This window comes from Homo sapiens, chromosome X (genome assembly GCF_000001405.40).
Source record: "Homo sapiens chromosome X, GRCh38.p14 Primary Assembly".
Lineage (NCBI taxonomy): Eukaryota > Metazoa > Chordata > Mammalia > Primates > Hominidae > Homo > Homo sapiens.
In genome coordinates, this window is record NC_000023.11 from 52,891,380 (window position 1) to 52,910,687 (window position 19,308).

The following is a 19,308-nucleotide window of genomic DNA, read 5'->3' on the forward strand; positions in this document are numbered from 1 at the left end:
AGTTTACAAAGATGATGGGGGCTGTGTTAAAAAGAAAAAATATACAGATCACAGTACAGGGATTGGGAATTGGGGGAGGCACTGGGTTAGCTGCAGGTAAATTATAACAGAGTGACTAGGGTAGGCTGGGTTGAGAAGGTGACAATTTGACAAAGATGTGAAGGGGGAGGAGTCAGTCAAGCAGATATCTGTGGTGAAGGCCTTCCAGACAGAGGGAGCAGTTGGAAAAAAGTCAGAGGCTGAGTCGTTCCAACATGGCGCAGATGCCACAAGGACACTAGCACACCAGCAGGAAGCTGAACAGAAGGCTGGAGGTGCCACGGTGACAAGGACGGGATCCTGTCAGGCCAGGTAAGCTTCTGCTCTGCCAGTGACACGGAAAGGGACAATGAAGGGCCACAGATACAGAAAGCATGTCTGTGCAGCCTGCAGAGTTCAGGTGAAGGAGGGACCCAGGCAGGAGCAGTCAGAACCAGGAGGGCTTAGGCAAGAGACAGGACAGGCAAAGGCACTGATGCAGCCCACCCAGACTTGACAGACGCGTTCATCCAGGTGTTCATGTCCTTGTCACTGTGGACATCTGTGTTGCAGCCACAGAACCACATACTCGATTAGGACGCCTGAACCCAATCAATAGTCGTTTTTCCCTACAGACCCTGGGGGAGGCCCACATGCACTTGCCCTAGGGTACTCTGACATTTTGGCACTGCAGTCCCACTGGGAGGCCACATGGAGTAACATACTGGCCAAGACATATTTAAAAATTCTGGCAGGGTGCGGTGGCTCACACCTGTAATCCCAGGACTTGGGGAGGGCAAGGCAGGCAGATCACTTGAGGTCAGGAGTTCAAGAACAGCCTGGCCAATATGGTGAAGCCCCATTTCTACTAAAAATCCAAAAAAAAAAATAATCCCGGGTGCAGTGACGCACACCTGTAATCCCAGCTACTTGGGTGGCTGAGGCACAAGAATCACTTGATCCCAGGAGGTGGAGGATGCAGTGAGCTGAGATTGTGCCACTGCACTCCAGCCTGGGTGACAGAGCTAGTCTCTATCTAAAATAAACAAATAATTTTGTAGCCTCTTTTACTAGGAGTTCTGGAATTAGGGAAGAGAGGAAAGGTACAACCCTCCTCCCGAACTCCAGGGGAGGAGAATCTCATTGCACAGATGTCCTCTGTTCACTCGATTCTCCTGGAGCATTTCTAAGGCACACAGAGCTGCTACCATCATAGCCATTACTGACCAAGTACTCTGGGTGAAATTCCTTTATTAACTGAATAAACTTGTTCTGAAGTGCTGACCGGACACTCTGGGGACAGGGGGAGGTTTCGGCTGTATCCTTGCTGGCAGATGACCCCCACACTTGGGGGGTAAGGAGAGCCATGGCAGAATTCAACCCACGGTCCCCTAGGAGTACACAGGAGACCACCCTACCCTCACCTGAGGGATGTGTGTGTGCAAGGGTTGGGTCAGGGCAGACTCTTCAGAAGAGGGGAGGTTTGTGCGGCAGGCACTTTGATTCTGCACAGCTTACAGTCCAGAGAGCCGAAGAACAAGAGGAACTAGATTCCCATTCTCAGTCTGTTGATTTCCACACCACATTTGGAGTCTGATCAACTCCACAGCTGTGTTGCAGCCGCTAACGCTGCCTCTGCTCTGTTTGCCTCTAGATTCTTCTTATCTGTTAAATAAAGTGAGGCTGATGGAGATGTAATTTAGGGCGGGGGTGGATTGCAAGTGTCTCTGTGATAGGGCAAAGCGCCTCCCGGTGGAGGCGCAGAAGCTAAACTCGACTGGTAGCTGTGAGGCAAGGGACGCCAGGGCAGCTCCTGTGGACTGTGTTAGAACTTTTCAGGGTGGCTTTGCCCTGCCAGGGGCCTGGATCTCACAGGGGGACGTCGTGTTAGGACCAAGCTGACTGTCCCATCACAGAATAATATCTGCAGCTCAGCATGGGGAGCATAAGCAAAGTACGTTGTCGTGAGTTTAAAGAGGCCTGGCTTTGGAGTCTGACAGAACCCGCGTGTGAGTCCCAGATCCAGCCTTTTCTGCCTCAGTGCCCTGACCTCTTTCAGCTTGGTTCCTTATCTGTAGATGGGAGTTTGATACTTACCTCTCTGGGTCTTTGGGAAATCAACACTGTACATGAGTAGCACACAGTAGGTCCTCAACAACCAGGCTCCAGGGAGAGAGAGCCATTCACACTGTGCCATGTTAGAGGCACATCAGTGTGCAGGCCAGCGTGCCAGGACAGTGGGAGTCCAGTCTACCCTCCAGCCAGGGTTTGGGCTTGGGCTGATGGTGGCAGGACCAGGGCCATTTCCATCTTTTCTCTTTTATTGTCCATATGTCCAAAGCAGACACTTCCATTCATATTCAGGTGTGCAATGCTAGGAGCTGAAATAACAGGCTGTAGTGAATGAAGCGAAGCCTCACAGTTCACTCTATGGCAGGAAGAACCAGCTGTGAGGCAGGTCCTCAGCCCACATCACTTCATGGTACTGAACCTGGGGCCACAGTTCCAAACTCCATGTTCACACATGATGAGTCTATAGGAATGAAGGAGAGATCTATGTTGTGTATCTTTATTATTATGTTTTATTGTATATATTTAAGGTATAAAACATGTTGTTATACACACACACACACACACACACAGTGAAATAATTGCTACAGTCAGGCAAATGAACCTGTCACCTTCCTCAGTTACCTTCCTGCATCCTATTTTTGCAAGTAAACTTTTCCTAAAAACCCTACTCTCACGTGACATTCCAGTTGGTTGGCCCATTGGGGGAATTTTCATGAATCTCCATCATGTGCTATTCAGTAAAAATATCAAACCCACTAAGCATGCCTTTTCATCCAGTTGCTCCCTAGGTAAAGTATAATTTGCTCTCCTTCACTTGAGAGCTGAAGGTAAGGAGCAATCAGGCAGCGGTTGATGGAGCAAGTGCAGGCCAGACAGAGGGAAGGGCGGTTGTGAGGCGGCAGACACGAGAGAGAGACAGCGAGAGAGCGAGCGTGCACGCTAGACAGAGAGAGGCCTGGTAGTAGCTGGGGCCTGATACCCCTAATCCAGGAGGCTGGACTTTATCCTAAGGGCAGCAGGCAGCCCTAGTAGAATTTGAAAAGGTTTGACATGACCAGATTAGCAGTCAAGAAAGGTGCCCCACTCACTGGGACAGAGAATGCGTGGGAAGGGGTCAAGACTGGCAGCAAGATGAGCTATGAATTGTTGGTGGTCATCGAGGAGGGAGATGAGGGTGACTGGACTAGGGAACTTCCTGTGGTGATGGAGAGGAGTCAGTGTCAAGGTCTCACTTAGAAAAACTTGGGAGGTCTAACTGGCCAGGCTCGGTCAACTGTGGGGGTGGTAAGAGGCAGCAATCAAGGATGGCTTTCAAGATCTTTGGCCCAAGCTGCTGGGTAGAGGGTGGTGCCTGTCACTGAGTCAGGCAGCACAGGAGGAGGGGCAGGCGTGCTGAGTGGGGATGGGTGCGTTCACTTTGGGACATGCTGAGCAGTACTTGCTATGGGACTCAACGACTTATGACTTGAAGACTTCGCAGAGCTGACCTAACCTCCCTGTGCTTACCGTGCCTCATCTGTAATAGGAGAATAAGAATAATTAGAAAAAATAACTAATTAGTTTCATTTGTTGAGTCTAGGAGAATGTTCTCCTTTTATACTGCAGAGTGGTATTTTCTTGTCAGGTCTTCCCAAGTAAAATGGGAATGTCTCGACTTGCCCATACAGTGGCTTGATTTTACCTGTCTGCTTTGGGTATCACCACCATTCGGCATGTATTGCCAATACTAAACAAATAAGTAAATACATAAATTCAAAGTAACAGGTGTTTATTATCACGTGTGTGCTGTAATAGCCCATCAGCCTGTCCCTCAGACAAATAAACTCTCTTTAAATCTTCTAAACTTCCTCTTGAAGCCCACCTCTCCCTCCAGGGGCTGGACAGGGCATTTGGGACCCAGGATCTCTAACACTCTCTTCTCTGGGAAGCCATCTCCCACTGCCCAGGATGCTGGATGGGAGGTGAGTGCAACGGGCCTGTGGGGTTGTCAGTTGGCGGAAGAAATCTGTAGATCCAGGGAGAGAATCGAGCCACATGTGTGGATTTGGAAATGACAGTGTATGGCTGCACAGCACGAAGGGGATGAAGTCACAGACACCTGGATTTAAATCGAGACTCCACCATTTATTTCTTGTACGACTTTGGGGAGGTTACTTAATCTCTTTGTGGCTCAGTTACTTCATTTGTAAAATGAAATGATAATATTCTGGGAGAATGGTTCATGTTTCCTTCCTTCATAAACTGCTGTTCACGAGGCGGCTTCTTCCAGGGTTAAAAAGGAATCTACTATCCATGTATCTGCTAGGACAGACATTGTTGCGTGTCACTTGACTCCTGAAATACGCCACGGTAAAGAAATCTCTGTACACTTTCGTGTTCTGGGAAGTCACTGACCACACAGGACCAATTATTCTCCATGAGACTTAGATAAGGGATGCTGTCTTCCCACTCTGTGCCGTGACTCCCAGATGGCAGACACCACCAGTCCTTGTTCTTTTGTCTCATGAATGTGTTGTAACCAAGCGAGTTATAGAGAAACGCCACACTTTTGAGACAAATTAAGGGGACCTTTATTAGCTGGCGACCTACAGGCAGCTAACGCTCAAAATTCTCTCGGCCCCAAGGAAGGGGCTAGTTTTGTTTTTATACCGTGGTCTAAACAGGGGAGGGGGGAGTTTAGCTGAAGCAATTTTACAGAAGCAGAATAGGCAAAAAGTTAAAAAAAATTAATTGGTTATAGAAGCAGTTACAAAAAATAAACAGTTCCAGGTGCAGGGGCTTAAACTATGATTAAGAGATAAATGCAGGGGCTTTTAGGTACCTTCCACCGAGCACATTCCCGAGCTGTTGGTACAGCCTGCCTCAATATCTTACCAGCAGGTGTATTCTTGGATGTGCTTGGACTCAGCTTGCACTAGTTATTCCCTTAAGGGGGATAAAGGGGGCTGCAAGTGAAGAAACTAAAATGGAGTCTGTCCGGCTCTCTCTGCTAGGAAAGAGTCACTCAGGTTAAAACAAGGTAGGGTATCACAAATGATTCACTTAGACGGGAAGTCTGTCCTCCTAAAAGTAGCTAGGCACAGAGAGAAACATTCCCTGTTCAGCTGGCTGAGACTTCCGCTGATTAAAAAAAAAACAAAAAACCCTGCCCCATAAATCTCCCCACTGAAACCGGTGTACTCCTTCCTATGAAAGTAAAAGACACCCCCGCCCCGCCCCGGTTACCCCAACAGTGTGATTTCCACTTCTGGGGCGCTCTCCCTAAGGCAGTAGCCTGAATAATTTCAATGTATTGGATTGTTTGGTTTCTGTCTTTACCAAGGTGCATTTATCATTCATGCAAAAACAGTAAAAAAAAAAAAAAAAAAAAAAAAAAAAATGAAACAGCACGTGTCGGTTCTCAGCGGCGCGCCCTAGCTCAAAACTCCAGCCAATCACAGGAGAAGTCGGCCGCCTCCCAACCCTCCAGCCCAGTTCCCACGTCCCTCGCCCGGGAAGTCACGTCCGCTACAGGGAGTGTCTTCCCATGGCCTCCGGAAGCATTCGGCAGTCCACAAGCCACGCTTCAGAGAAGCCGCTCCGGGAACGCCGCGGCGCACCTCCGGAAGGGATGACCTCCACGCCTTCTCCCCTCGCAGTCCACCCGAGCGGCGTGGGTCGCGAGAAGCCACCCAACCGCTCCGTCTTCCGGCTCCGGCGGTCCGCGGCAGCCAATCAAAGGTTCAGTTTCTCAGCGGCGTCGCATCCCTGTGACGTGAGCACATCCTCGCCGGCGCCCCCTTCCGCGCTGCGGCGCCTCTAGCCCGCCGGAGGGCGGCTCCTCTCGATGGTCTTAACCCTTCAATTACGAGCGGGCGGCGCTGCGTTTCCAGGGCAGAGGAAACGAGGCGCCGCGTTGGCGCTTGGACGGCGGGAACCGGCTCCGGAGCGAGAACGCGCGTGAGAGAGCCCGAGAGAGACGGAGAGCGAGCGAGCGCGCGGGAGAGACTGAGAGCGGGGGGGTGGGAGAGAGACTTCCAGAGAGACAGAGCGAGAGGCCGAGACGGAGGCTGTCCCTAGCACAGGCCAGGGTGTCTTGGGACTCGAATCCCTGGGTTGGGCTGGCCGGGAGTGGGGCTTTCGAAGGAAGCGGGTGATTTTCCACGTCGTCCATATCTCCCCGGTGTGGGAATGGCGGTCGTGCACTCTGGGGGTGGCGTTGTTCTCGTTCCCTACTTGGGGGTGGCCTTTTTCAGCGGAGAAAGAGGATGCCGCGGGCATTGGTAGCCGGCGGGACTACACTTGGGCTAGGATCAGTGTTCAGCGGGTTCAGAAATCACCGTGTCCTTGGCATCACCTCCCTCCCCACCTCCTCTCCCATCGCACAGCAGGAGACAGTGACTGGAGGGTTTTCAAGGAGGACTGCATTGCCCCTATTGAAACAAACCGTCCGACAAACCCTTTCTCCGACGTGTGACAGAGGGACGGTCGTAATGTGAAATACGACTAGACATGCGTTTAATGGGCGGTGTGATTGCTGCATTCGTGCGCAATGAATGGTCCAGGCCATTTGTGTCCAGTAGCCGCACAAGCTGCAGGGTCTCATGTTTAGAGAGGGAGGGCCTCTCCGCCGTCCACCTTGCTGGAGTACAGGCGACCCTGGGCGGTAGCCCTCTCCGCCATCAGAAATGTGGTGCTCTGAGTAGCCACAGATTCCCATCTGCATCTCCAATACCATTTCCCTCTACTCACTGACCCGTTGGGTGCGTTGGATTTGTGCGTGGGTGTGAGGGTAGTTTGGTGTGTTTGCTTGCAAATGGAAAAGCGAATGGCCTTGGTTGGCTGAGCTTATCAGGGCACTAGCAGTGGAGAGAGAAAGGACTACTGTATTCTTAGGAGCAGAATCTCAACAACTTCCTATAAAACGGGCAGTGTGTCTTACCTGGAATGCTTTGGCATTTAATAAAATGTCCTGTGAATACTTTTCATAGGGAAGCACTTTGTTTTTACTGTTTCTGGTTGGACAGTGGTTACATTTCAAATCGTAGTTCAGAATTCGTGAAATACCCAAATTAAATCTCTACGTGGCAGTAATCCATTTTCTTTCCTTGGTGTGTGGTTGGAAGATTAATTTGAGATAAGTGTTCAGTTCTGGGCTGGGCAGTCGTGCCGGGCACGGGAAATTCAGGTTCTTTAAGGGAAAGGCCTGATGTGCTAAGACGAAATCTATACCGTGTGTAGCCGCTTATGAGAATATGAAACTAAGGAGAGCCACAGGTAAGTATACGTCTATGAATGCGAATTAAAACGGGTGACAATATAAAGAGAGATTGGTGTCACAAATGGTGGAGTGACTTTTGTATTTCAGCAGACCTCAGTGAGAAATGGTCACCACCACTCCCTAGATGTGTGACCTTGAGTGAGTTGCTTAACCTCTCTGATCCTGTTACCTCATCTGCAACTGGGGATGAGAATATATATCATAGCATGCCCTGGGAGAAGCTGTTCCTGACCACCTGGGCTATGGTGATTTTGACTTCCTCTGTGTCAGAAGTACCCCCGTCTCATGCCTGCCATAGTTGTCTTTTTGTTTTGTTTTGTGATTTCAGATGGACTCACCCTGTCACCCAGGTTGGACTGCACTGGCCTCAACCTCCTGAGTTCAAGTGATCGTCCCACCTCAGCCTCCCCAGTAGCTGGGACCATAGCTGTGCAGCATCATGCCTGGCTAATTTTTTAAGTTTTTTGTTGAGATGGTGGTCTCGCCCTGTTGCTCAGGCTGGCCTCAAACTCCTGGGCTGAAGCAGTCCTCCCACCTCAGCCTCCCAAAGTGCTTGGATTAGAGGCGTGAGCCACCATTCCTGGCTCCTTGGACAATATTTTATTCCTCAGATTAAGACACGTCCTTGGGATGGGGCTGCATTGGATAATTCACCGAAGGCACCGCTGAATGGAGTGGGCCCTCAGTAAATACCTGGAGGAATGTGACCTGGCCAGTGAGGTTATTTTCTTTTGTAGGTGAAAGGTGTAGCAGTCACTCGGCCTACACCCACAGCATCGACCTTGTGAACCCAGCGACCTGACTGCCTTGGGTGAGTCTAGGCAAGCTCCATTCTCGCCAGAGCGGACTTGCTCCTTGTCTTCCTCTTGCTGCTCTGGCCACTCTTCTTGGTCCCTCCCCTGTTCCCTCCCCGGACTCCCGGTTGTACTCCCGCTGCTTTTCTGTGTACTCACCTGCTGGGAGACCCCTGATGCCAGCACCACGCTTCACTGCTGTCTTCATTTTCTTCTTTCTTTCTTGAAAGTGGGCATTGCTGGCTTTACTGACTACCTGTTCTTTTGTTACAAAGCTGCTAAAAATTGTATCTCTTCCGCTCCAGACCCAGTAGGATAGAGATGATCTGTGTAGGCATCAAAAATGTAGAACATCTGCAAGTCATGTGTAGGACAGACTCTTTCCTCAATCTGTGTGGCGTTGCGTGGCTAGGAGTTAGATTCCTTTGCCATGACATGGCACAAGACTAGGAGCACGGTTTTCAGCACCCAGAGAACTTGCACAGACCTTAGACATTTTGCTGTAGGATTTTGCCACTTCTAGAAAAAAGTCCATGTGGCCGGGCGTGGTGGCTCACGCCTGTAATCTCAGCACTTTGGGAAGCCGACGTGGGCAGATCACAAGGTCAGGAGTTCGCGGCCAGCCTGGCCACCGTGGTGAAACCCTGTCTCTACTAAAAATACAAATGTGAGCCGGGTGTGGTGGCGGGTGCTTGTAATCCCAGCTACTCCGGAGGCTGAGGCAGGAGAATTGCTTTAAACCAGGAGACGGAGGTTGCAGTGAGCTGAGATCATGCCACTGCACTCCAGCCTGGGCGACACAGTGAGACTGTCTCAAAAAAAAAAAAAAAAGTCCATATTTAATTGGGATTATTAAATGAAATCTGTATCTTTAAACTGAAATAAATGCATTTTATTATCTCATATTATTGTGGAAGATTGAAAAAAGCATCACATGGGACTGGCTTAATTTTGAAAAGAAACACAAAGCTCTTCCTGGCGCTCATCTGCAGGGTGTCGTCTGGATTCACTTGCTTAGCTGTTCTCTTTCTCCTTCCGCACAGGAGAATTGAAGCGAATGAGAGTGGGGAGTGTGAGAGGTGCGTTTGGTGCAGCATTTCTGGCATGGGAACAGAACTGGCCAGGAGGAAGTGACGGTAAGGATTCGCAGCATTGCACCCGATCCCCGGGCAGCTGTGGACATGCGGGTCAGCCCCTAGGACTCTGCTGTCTGAACTCTTCCCTCAGGATTACTTTCTCGCTTAGGTATCAGGGGAGGCTGAACACCCAGAGAGGCAATGCCACCAGGGGTGTGTTCATCTGCAGTCAGGGAGACCTGGGAGGGAATTCTGTCCCTGAGTGGTTGTGTGATCTGAGGGAAGTTACTTGACCTCTCCATGCAGGAATTTCTGCCTTTGCAACGTGGGAAAATATGGATTCTGCAGGGTTGACTTGACATTCTCAGTGAGATGTTTATCACGGGCCCCACATCCTTCTTGTTTCATTTGATAGATATTTGTGAATGTCCACTGGGCTCAAGGCTCTGTGATGGGTGAACAAGACAAAGTCCCTGGCCTCTGTCAGCTCCTGGGCTAGTGGGTTGACAGAGAAATAACCATCTGTTGACAGCTGAGTGGGATTGGGGCTGGGACAGGGGAAATACAGGGCGTTTTAGGAGCTTGGAGAAGGCTTCCTGGGAGAAGTGCTATCTCAGCTGAGTCATGCAGGGTGAATGAGAGGTGAAAGTCTTGCCAAGGGCCATGGCAGTCCCAAACTACAGGCACCCATCACTATACCCGGCTAATTTTTATTTTTAGTAGAGATGGGGTTTCACCCCGGTGGCCAGGCTGCTCTCGAACTGCTGACCTCAAGTGATCCACCCGCCTCAGCCTCCCGAAGCAGGGATTACAGGCGTGAGCCACTGTGCCCAGCGTGATTGTAAATGTTAATCATGTCCACAAATACCTTCCCAGCAACAACTAGAGTAGCATTTGACCAAAAGGGACCAGGCACCAAGCCTGGCCGAGTTGACCGATAAAACCATCACAGTGAGGGATTGGTACCCAGAGACATCACCTCTCATGCTGAAGGTCTGACCGGTAAACTGTCTGGGTTCCCTGTCTCCAGTAGTCCTTCTCTCTCTTCGGTAGCTGCATGACATGATGCAGGAAACTTGAGGCTGTGGTGTTTCATGCAGAGATTTTTGATACAAGGTCTTTTACCTGGGGGCAAGTGCCTGTTGAAGAAATGACATTGGTGAGATGATGAAGGAAGGGAAGTCACATGTATTGCTGCAGCTGCTCCCCTCCGCACACACAACGGACTTCTCTAGGCCTCACTGTCCTTAATGCCTCTGTCAGGGATCATGAGCAACTCCATGGGTGTGGTTTGAGAATCTCTGGATGAACCTACACATAGGACGGTAAAATGTTTCATTTCACAAAATTGCTGGAGGGAGAAAGAGAGAAAAGAGAGCGATGACTATGCAGGCCGGTTGTCAGTTGATGTCTCCAGAATCTTCCTATTTCTTTTTTTTCTTTTTCTTTTTTTTTTTTTTTTTTTTTTTTTTTTTGAGACAGAGTCTTGCTCCGTTGCCCAGACTGGAGTGCAGTGGTGCAATCTCGGCTTACTGCAACCTCCGCCTCCTGGGTTCAAGTGATTCTCCTGCCTCAACCTCTCTATTACCTGGGATTACAGGTGCCCACCACCACACCCAGCTAATTTTTTTGTATTTTCCGTAGAGATGGCGTTTCGCCATGTTGGCCAGGCTGGTCTCAAACCCCTGACCTCAGGTGATCTGCCTGCCTCGGCCTTCCAAAGTGCTGGGATTGCAGGCATGAGCCACCACACCCGGCTCACATTTCTTCTCATAAAAGTGTTTCTGGCTGGGAACAGTGGCTCACGCCTATAATCCCAGCACTCTGGGAGGCTGAGGCATGCAGATCATGTGGAGCTCAGGAGTTCCAGACCAGCCTAGGCAACATGGCAAAACCCCGTCTCTACAAAAAATACAAAAATTAGCCGGGCATGGTGGCTCACGCCTGTAGTGCAAGCTGCTCAGGCGTCTGAGACTGGAGGATCCCTTGAGCCCAGGAAGCAGAGGTTTCAATGAGCCGAGGTTTTGCCACTGCACACCAGACTAGGTAACAGAGCGAGTCCCTGCCTCAAACAAACAAACAAAACAGCAAAAGAAACGTGGGGGGTGGGGGTCGTAAGGTCTTTTCTCTCTCTGAGAATTGGCTTTCTACATGTAGAAATAGATCCTGAGAGAGTCCTTGTGACACATGAGAATTGGCTGGGAGATAATTGGGTTAAGATCATTTTCCAAACGTTTCACACATTAACTGTTTGTGTCAGATAGTGGTGGCCCAAAGGATGTCAGGGAACTAACTCGTAGGAAAGATAGATTGCAATTTCTGAAAAGTTAAGAACTCTTTCTGGGATGTGTGTGTGTGTGTGTTTATATATGTTTGTGTTCAGTACATATTCAAACTGTTCCTGTTACGGTTCTGTCTTTCTTGCCCCAGTGTGGGCTGATAGCCACGATTTGGTGAATAAACATTCAGAGGACCAGTATCCTCTGAAGAAAACTAGTGAATTCTTGGTTTCCACGTTTGTCAAAAGAATAGAGCCTGGGAGGCTGATCTAAAGTTTCCATTTAGCATTTAATGTCAATTTTTGGTTGCACTCATCCAAGATGTATTTATCAAAACAGTACAGAGAGATACCCTTATCGCAAAATATGCCGTTGGGTTTTTCCACTTAACCTACAGCAAGATTGACTTTTTTCCCTCAGGAGTACAGTTCTGTGAGCTTTGACACGGGCATACATTCTTGTCACCACCACCACAGTCGGGATCCAGAACAGTCCCATCACCGCAGGACACTCCCTGGAACTGCCCCATTGCGGTTACCCCTTCTTCATCCATCATCCCTGGTGTAAAGTGATCTGTTTCCTTCCCTCTAGTTTTGTCTTGGGGAGAGTGTTATGTCAATGACACCATACAGTTTGTGGCCTTGTGAGGCGGGCTTCCTTCTTTTGGCCCGATGAACATCTCGGATGAGTGTCAGATGCCTCTGTCACAGGCTGTTGTTTTTTCATGAAGGCAGTTTCACGGTGTGGAAGACCACAGGTGTTCAGCCATCCTTCTACTGAATGACATTTTCCTCTGTCCAGTGTGGGGCAGTTTCGCATCGAGCTGCTTTTACAATTCAGTGCGGGCTTTTTTGTGAACCTAAGTTTTCATTTCTCTAGGGTAGATACCCAGGAGTGGGATGGCTGGGTCCTATGGTAAACATCTGTTTGACTTACAAGAAACTGCCAAACTGCTTCTCAAAGTTGCTGTGCTATTTCGCCCTCCCAGCTGCAAAGTGTGAGAGTTCCAGTCACCCAACATGTTCTCGCTTGGCCTTGCCAGTCTCCATGGTGTTAATTTGCATTCCCCTAATGCTGAATGATGTTAAATATGGTTTCTTGCGCTCCCATTCAAGTCTTTCCCCCATTTTCTAGTTGGGGTGTTGATTTTCTTATTGTGGAGTTTTGAAAACGCGCCATGTGTTTTGGATATAAGATCTGTCAGGTTGGTGATTCTCAAACATTTCCTCCTAGTGGTGCAGCTTTGATTTTCATTCTCTGAACACACTGGCTCTTACACAGCCAAAGTTGTGTTGTATTGTATTGTGTTGTATTGTGTTGTATTGTATTGTATTGTATCGTATCGTATCGTATAGTATCGTATAGTATCGTATCGTATCCTATTCTATTCTATCTATCCTATTCTATTCTGTTCTATTCTGTTCTATTTATTTATTTAGAGACAGGGGCTCGCTATGTCGCCCAGACTGGAGGGCAGTGGCTCGATCTCGGCTCACTGCAGCCTCTGCCTCCTGGGTCGAGCAATTCTCCTGCCTCAGCCTCCCCAGTAGCTGGGGACTACAGGTATGTCCCACCATGCCAGGTAATTTTTGTATTTTTTGGTAGAGACAGGGTTTCACCATGTTGGCCAGGCTGGTCTCGAACAACTGAACTCTAGTGATCTGCCCACCTTGGCCTCCCGAAGTGTTGGGATTACAGGCAGGAGCCACCACGCCCGGCCAGAGCCAGAGTTTTAAATTTTGCCAAACTCCTATCCATCCATCTTTCCTTTCCATGGATCATGCATCTCAGGTCATGTCCTAGCCTCCCCTCACAAAGATGTCCTCCTACGGTTTCTACCAAAAGTCATAGTATTGAACTTTGGCGTGTAGGTCTCTGAACCCTTTTTCCTTAATTGCGTGTAAAGGTTGAGGTTGAGGTGCATCTTTTTGCGTAAGGATAGGCCACCTCATGTATTGAAAAGCTTATCCCTTCTCCATTGGATTCCCTCTCACACCCATGTCAAAACTCACTGGACACATTTCTATGGATGGATTCATGGACTCTATTTTATTCCATGGATCTACTCGTCTACCCCTGTAAGCCAGCAATCTCGATTATTACAGCTTTAGAGCAAATCTGAAAATCTGATAATATCATCTCTCTAAAATACCTTCTGCTTTTTGAAACATCAGATATTCCACGTGAATTGTAGAATCTGCTTGTTTATGCATGCAAATGTCCCTCAAGGATTCTGATTGGCAGGCACTGCATTCATTCTACAGATCAAGTTGGGGACAATGGACTGTTAACTTTTTTGGGTCTTTAAATATGGGAACACATTGTTTCTCTCCATTTAACTAAATCTTCTTTGATTTTTTCATTACCGTTTAATAGTTTTGGGCATACAGACCCCGTCCACGTATTTTAGCTTTATACATAACCATTGCATTGTGTTTGTAGCTTTTGTAAAACAGTATTATTTCTTAAATTTAGGTTTCCAGTTACGCATAGGATTGTTTTCCGTGTGTTGAGTTTCTCTCCTGTATTGCTGCTAAGCTCTCATTAATGAGCACTAAGCTCTTATTAGCTCTGAGAGTCTGGGGGAGATACACTGGTTGTTTCATGTAGACGATCACAGGACCCATGAAAAGGAGTACTTTGGTTTCTTGCTTTCTCCGGTGTGTGCCGTGATTCTTCTGGCATTATAGCACTGACTGGGCCTCAGCGTGACGTTGAATAGCTGTGGTGAGAGTGGACGTCCTTGCCTGGTTCGCATCCTTAGGCAGAAAGCATCCAGTCGTTGACCATTAAGTGGCTTGTTAGTTGTAGGTTTGACTGTACACGCCCTTTTTCAGGTTGAGGAAGTTGTCTTGTGTTCCTAGTGTGCTAGAGCTTTTATATCACCAGTGGACTTTGAATCTTATCAAAGGGTTTTTCTGCATAGCTTGATGTGATCCTGTCATTTTTGTTCTTCATCTGATCTCTCAATCTGTGGGTTACATTGATTGATTTTCAGGTGTGGGAAGAACAACCCTTGCATTCCCGCTATAAAACCCACTTGATCGTGGCTTATTATTCTTCTCACATATTGCTCAATTCAAACTGCAAGGTTTTGTTGAATACTTTGGTGCCTGTACTAGGAAAGAATACTGGTCTGTCCTTTTCTTGGTATCCCTGTGGTGCTGGCCTCATAAAATCAGTGGGGCGCATTCCCTCTGCTTTGTTTCCTAGAAGAAGTTGTGTAAGTTGGTGATATTTCTTCATTAAACGTTTGGTAGACTTGGCCAGTGAAACTGTCTTGGCCCAGAGATCTTTTTGCAAATGTGTTTGCCTGTGAATTCAACTTCTTTAAAACATATAGGACTGTGCACACAGTTCAGTGTTTGAAATCCATCCTGTGTGAGTTTCCGTAGCTTGTGGTTTTCAAGTATGTGCTACATTTCCTCTGACCTGTGGAATGTGAATCTGTAGAGTTGCGTGTATTCTTACCATATTGACCCTTTTATGTTTTCTGGGTCTGGAGTGAAATCTCTTCTTGCATTCCTGATATTGGTAACTTGTTTCTTTGCCCTCTTTTTTCCCAGCCAGTCCTGCCACGGGTGTATCAATTTCATTGATCACTTCAAAGAACCAGCTTTTTTTTTTTTTTTTTTCCTGGATTAATTGAATTCATCTATGTGTTTTTCTGTTTGAAGTCTCCTGGGGGTTTATGCTTCTGTTGTTTAGCAAAATAAATTCTTATCCACACTAGGAATTTGGAAACGATTTCCATAGGCATGAGCAGCCTTTTCGACTAGATGCAAACCCAGTGGTCAGGAAGGCGAACATACAAAAGGGTGTGTCCCCATGGTGCAAACGCTTACAGTTGAGTAAAAGTCTCCCTTGTGAGTGGATGAAAATGAACGCTCATGGGCAGAGCACCTGTGAGTCACACATTGATTATTCTACAAATGATGCTTGGGAAGGGGTTGGAAAATGTCAGCAGGGAATTGACATCGTCGAACTGCATTGCATCCTTTTGCACCCCGTGTCACGTGGATGCATTAATTGGTATCATTTGTAAATCCTTTATTAGATGGCATTAATATTCTAAGCTGGTGAGATGTATGATCTCACGTCATCCTCAGAAGAAGCCTAGGACAGGGTCTCTCTATAATCCCCATTCTACACACAGGAAGTGGAGGGACAGAGAGGTTGAGTAAGATGAATAATTCTGTGTTTTCTTGTCTTATCACCTTGCGTTGCAGTCTGGGTTCTGCCCGCACACATTCCTCGCCACCTTCTTGGTGTCTGAGAACCTCCAGCTTCACCTCCTTTTCTGGACCCGAGGGCCTGGCGGAGCTTCCAGCTGGGACCAGACCTCCATGGATCCACTCCAGAAACGGAATCCAGCATCGCCTTCCAAATCTTCCCCGATGACAGCTGCAGAGACTTCCCAGGAAGGTCCAGCGCCCTCTCAGCCTTCGTACTCAGAACAGCCGATGATGGGCCTCAGTAACCTGAGCCCCGGTCCTGGCCCCAGCCAGGCCGTGCCTCTCCCAGAGGGGCTGCTCCGCCAGCGGTACAGAGAGGAGAAGACCCTGGAAGAGCGGCGGTGGGAGAGGCTGGAGTTCCTTCAGAGGAAGAAAGCATTCCTGCGGCATGTGAGGAGGAGACACCGCGATCACATGGCCCCCTATGCTGTTGGGAGGGAAGCCAGAATCTCCCCATTAGGTGACAGAAGTCAGAATCGATTCCGATGTGAATGTCGATACTGCCAGAGCCACAGGCCGAATCTTTCTGGGATCCCTGGGGAGAGTAACAGGGCCCCACATCCCTCCTCCTGGGAGACGCTGGTGCAGGGCCTCAGTGGCTTGACTCTCAGCCTAGGCACCAACCAGCCCGGGCCTCTGCCTGAAGCGGCACTCCAGCCACAGGAGACAGAGGAGAAGCGCCAGCGAGAGAGGCAGCAGGAGAGCAAAATAATGTTTCAGAGGCTGCTCAAGCAGTGGTTAGAGGAAAACTGAGACGTGCACCCCCATGGGATGGAGACCCGAAGGGACTCAGACGGAGCCGCCGTGTTGGCAGCGCCTGGGTGTGGGCCCATTTTGGGGACCAAACAGCAAGCTGTGGTCGGATGAGTGCCAGGACCTGTGTACCGGGACACGTGGGAGTCCTCCCAGCATGATGCTTGACTGACCCGAGGAAGGTCCTCATGTTTCGTGCCTGTCATTCTCGGATGGCTGTGAGGCATTCCTTGGCAAGGGACGCTGCGTACCAGCGGTCCTCACCGCATCTCACATGGCTCCTGTGATGCATGTTGTCGCTTTCCCACCCGGGATCTCCATCTCTCTTCCCTTCCTGCTGTCAGTAAGAGATCACATGTCTGTGTAGTGTGAATGCCTTGTCGCTGTCCTGTGCTTTTGCACCATTGAGTTGACTGCCTCTGAGAAGCAGCACTAGGCCTGTTGAAATGCAATGTGCTGCCCTGAGATCCAGTTTCAAGAATGGGCAGGTAAACGCAGTGTGGGAAAGGAATGTGGAATGAGAACTTGGTGGTTCACCGCTGTACTATTTGTGTAAATGTTTACGTATGTGATAAGCTACATGTATGTAAATGTTGCAATACCCCTAACAGTCGAGTAGTAGTCTCCCTTACAGGAATTTTTGACGGGGTTCCTCATCATCAATACCAAATAAATATATGTAGGAATGGAAAATGGGTGTAGAATTCAGGTTTGTTCCTCAGTATTGGTTTGTTTCTCATTAGATCTGAGCTGGTTACCTTGAAATCTCCCAGCAGGGGATCCGGGTTTATTGAGGGAAGCTCTGTGCTGTGGAGACTGGGAACGGGGGAGGGAGGGCACCAGAGAACACAGCCCAGTCACTGTTTGAGCCCTGCAGCGGGACCAGCATCGAGACCAGCGAGGCAGGGCCATGGCTTTGAAGAGAGGCTTCCTGTGCACAGGAGACGTGGAAGCAGAGTCCGCCGCCCACGGTGAGAGCCCTGCGTGTTGGTGCTGGTGCCCTGGCTTAGGGGCTGCGGCGCCATTGCTTGTTGTGTGGTGGGCCCGGGTGGGTGAAACTGAGCAGCAGTTTGCACCTGCTTTGTGAGAACCAGAGCATCCTTGGGTTCTTCCAACATCTTATTGGGATTTAGACATGTGTGTCTTTTAATTTCAGGAGGCACAAATGACTAAATCTACCTTTTTTTTTAACCTCTGCAGAATCCTGAGATGTGAACCCAGCCAGTACCCATGTGACTCCTCTGAACTGAAAACAAATTCTGCTTTGTGTCAGTCTGTTTTAGGTAGTCCCCAGAGCTGTCTTGCTGCAAAAGTCTACACATCTCCTGCCGACAGAAGTGGCTTGAAAACAGGTAAGTGTCTTGGATTCTGATGCTGAGATCTCATGAGAGAGTCGACAGTTGAACTGACCTAGCTCCAGGGGAGAAGGGAAAAAAAAGCAGGGCTATTCCTTCTTGAAACACAAAGGCCTAAATGGAGACCAGTGAATCCGGGAGGGTTTCAAAGGGGTTCGAGGCGTTGCCCTTTGGCTGATGTTTCCTAGGGTTCTGATGGTATTTTCCCCATTTCCATATGTCAGCTGCCTTCCTCCACTCCCACACACCCATCCTCTAGCAACATTTTCAGTTCCGCTTTATGAATTTCGAAAGCAGAACACCAGAGAAGTTAGGGAACTAGCCCACGGTGGCACAGGCAGTAAGAGGTAGAACTAGCACCCGAACCTAGGTAGGCTGGGATCGGAGCTGGCCCCCCTTCAGCAGTTCACCTCTGTGAAGGCTGTGGGTGAAGTGCCTAGAGCCGGGCTTTGGTGCTCATTTCATAGCTGGTAGCACCAAGTCTTGGTGAGATCCATTGCTGAATCCTCCACACAGTGCCGTGGGCCAGGTACAACCATCCCCACCTTGTGGAGAGTTTGTGCAGGTCCTAAAGTGGTGGCCAGAGATGCATGCCTTTGTCTCACTCCCCAACCACTCAGATGCTCTCTGCGGACCTTCTCAGTCAGCGCAGCAAGCACACCAGGTCCATGCTGCCAGTGACAGTCATCATTTCAGCAATCATCAGGGTTTCCATTTTCTCACCTTGCCTGTCTCCCTTCTGGGCTACGTCGACTGTCGTGGTGGGGAGGTGAGGAGGAGTTGCAGAGGTAGCCCCGCTCCGGGGGATTGAGCGATTCATCAGGGAGAGAGATCCGACCCCATCTTAGTCTGTGTCCTTCCACTATATCATGAAATACAACAGGTTGGGTGCTCTGGACTGGATATGGTGTGTTTATCCCCACCAAGAGTCAGGTTGAAGTTGAATCCTCAGTGCTGCAGTGTTGGGAGGTGGGTCCTAGTGGGAGGTGTTTGGGTCGTGGTGGGGATCCCTCATGAATGAGTCAGTGTCCTGTGATGCCATCCTGCTGGGCTGAGTTCTTACTCTCACAGGTATGGATTAGTTCGCAGGAGAGTGGATTGTTCACAAGATTCTGGCCTCCCTCGATTCTCTCTCCCTTCCTTCTTTCCATGTGATCTCGTTGCACACGCCGGCTCCCCTTCCACTTTCCACCATGAGTTGAAGCAGCCCGAGGCCCTCACCAGATGCAGTTGCCCAAAAATGAATGTTTCAGCCACCAGAATTGTGAGCCAGATAGACCAACTTTTTCTTTTTAAAAGATTTATTTATTTTAATTTTTTTTAAGAGACCGGGTGATGCTCTGTTGCCGACGAGAGTGGAGTGGCACGATCATGGCTCACTACAGCCTTGAACTCAGGTGGGATCCTCCCACCTGAGCTTCCCAAGTAGCTCAAGGATGTACTGCCATGCCAGGCTGATTTTTAA

General features: G+C 49.1%; 1 protein-coding gene across 14 annotated transcripts; it reads left to right on the top strand.

Annotated features, from left to right (window-relative positions):
* The first annotated feature begins 212 nt into the window (after positions 1–212).
* FAM156B (family with sequence similarity 156 member B) lies at positions 213–17,181 on the top strand. Of its 14 annotated transcripts, none has more exons than NM_001321181.2 (4): positions 213–351; positions 7,680–8,162; positions 9,189–9,281; positions 15,730–17,181. In NM_001321181.2, the coding sequence occupies exon 4, from the start codon at positions 15,847–15,849 to the stop codon at positions 16,486–16,488; it is 642 nt and encodes a 213-aa protein (NP_001308110.1). In that variant the 5' UTR covers positions 213–351; positions 7,680–8,162; positions 9,189–9,281; positions 15,730–15,846; the 3' UTR covers positions 16,489–17,181. The 14 variants fall into 14 exon arrangements, with proteins under 14 accessions (NP_001308110.1, NP_001308115.1, NP_001308112.1 ...); NM_001321186.2 differs by having other exon boundaries at positions 8,089–8,162; NM_001321183.1 differs by lacking the exon at positions 213–351 and adding an exon at positions 5,562–5,811 and having other exon boundaries at positions 8,089–8,162.
* The last annotated feature ends 2,127 nt before the right edge of the window (positions 17,182–19,308 follow it).

Coding starts and splice junctions, on each gene's coding strand:
- FAM156B (NM_001321181.2), top strand. CDS start 15,847: ATGGATCCACTCCAGAAACGGAATCCAGCATCGCCTTCCAAATCTTCC.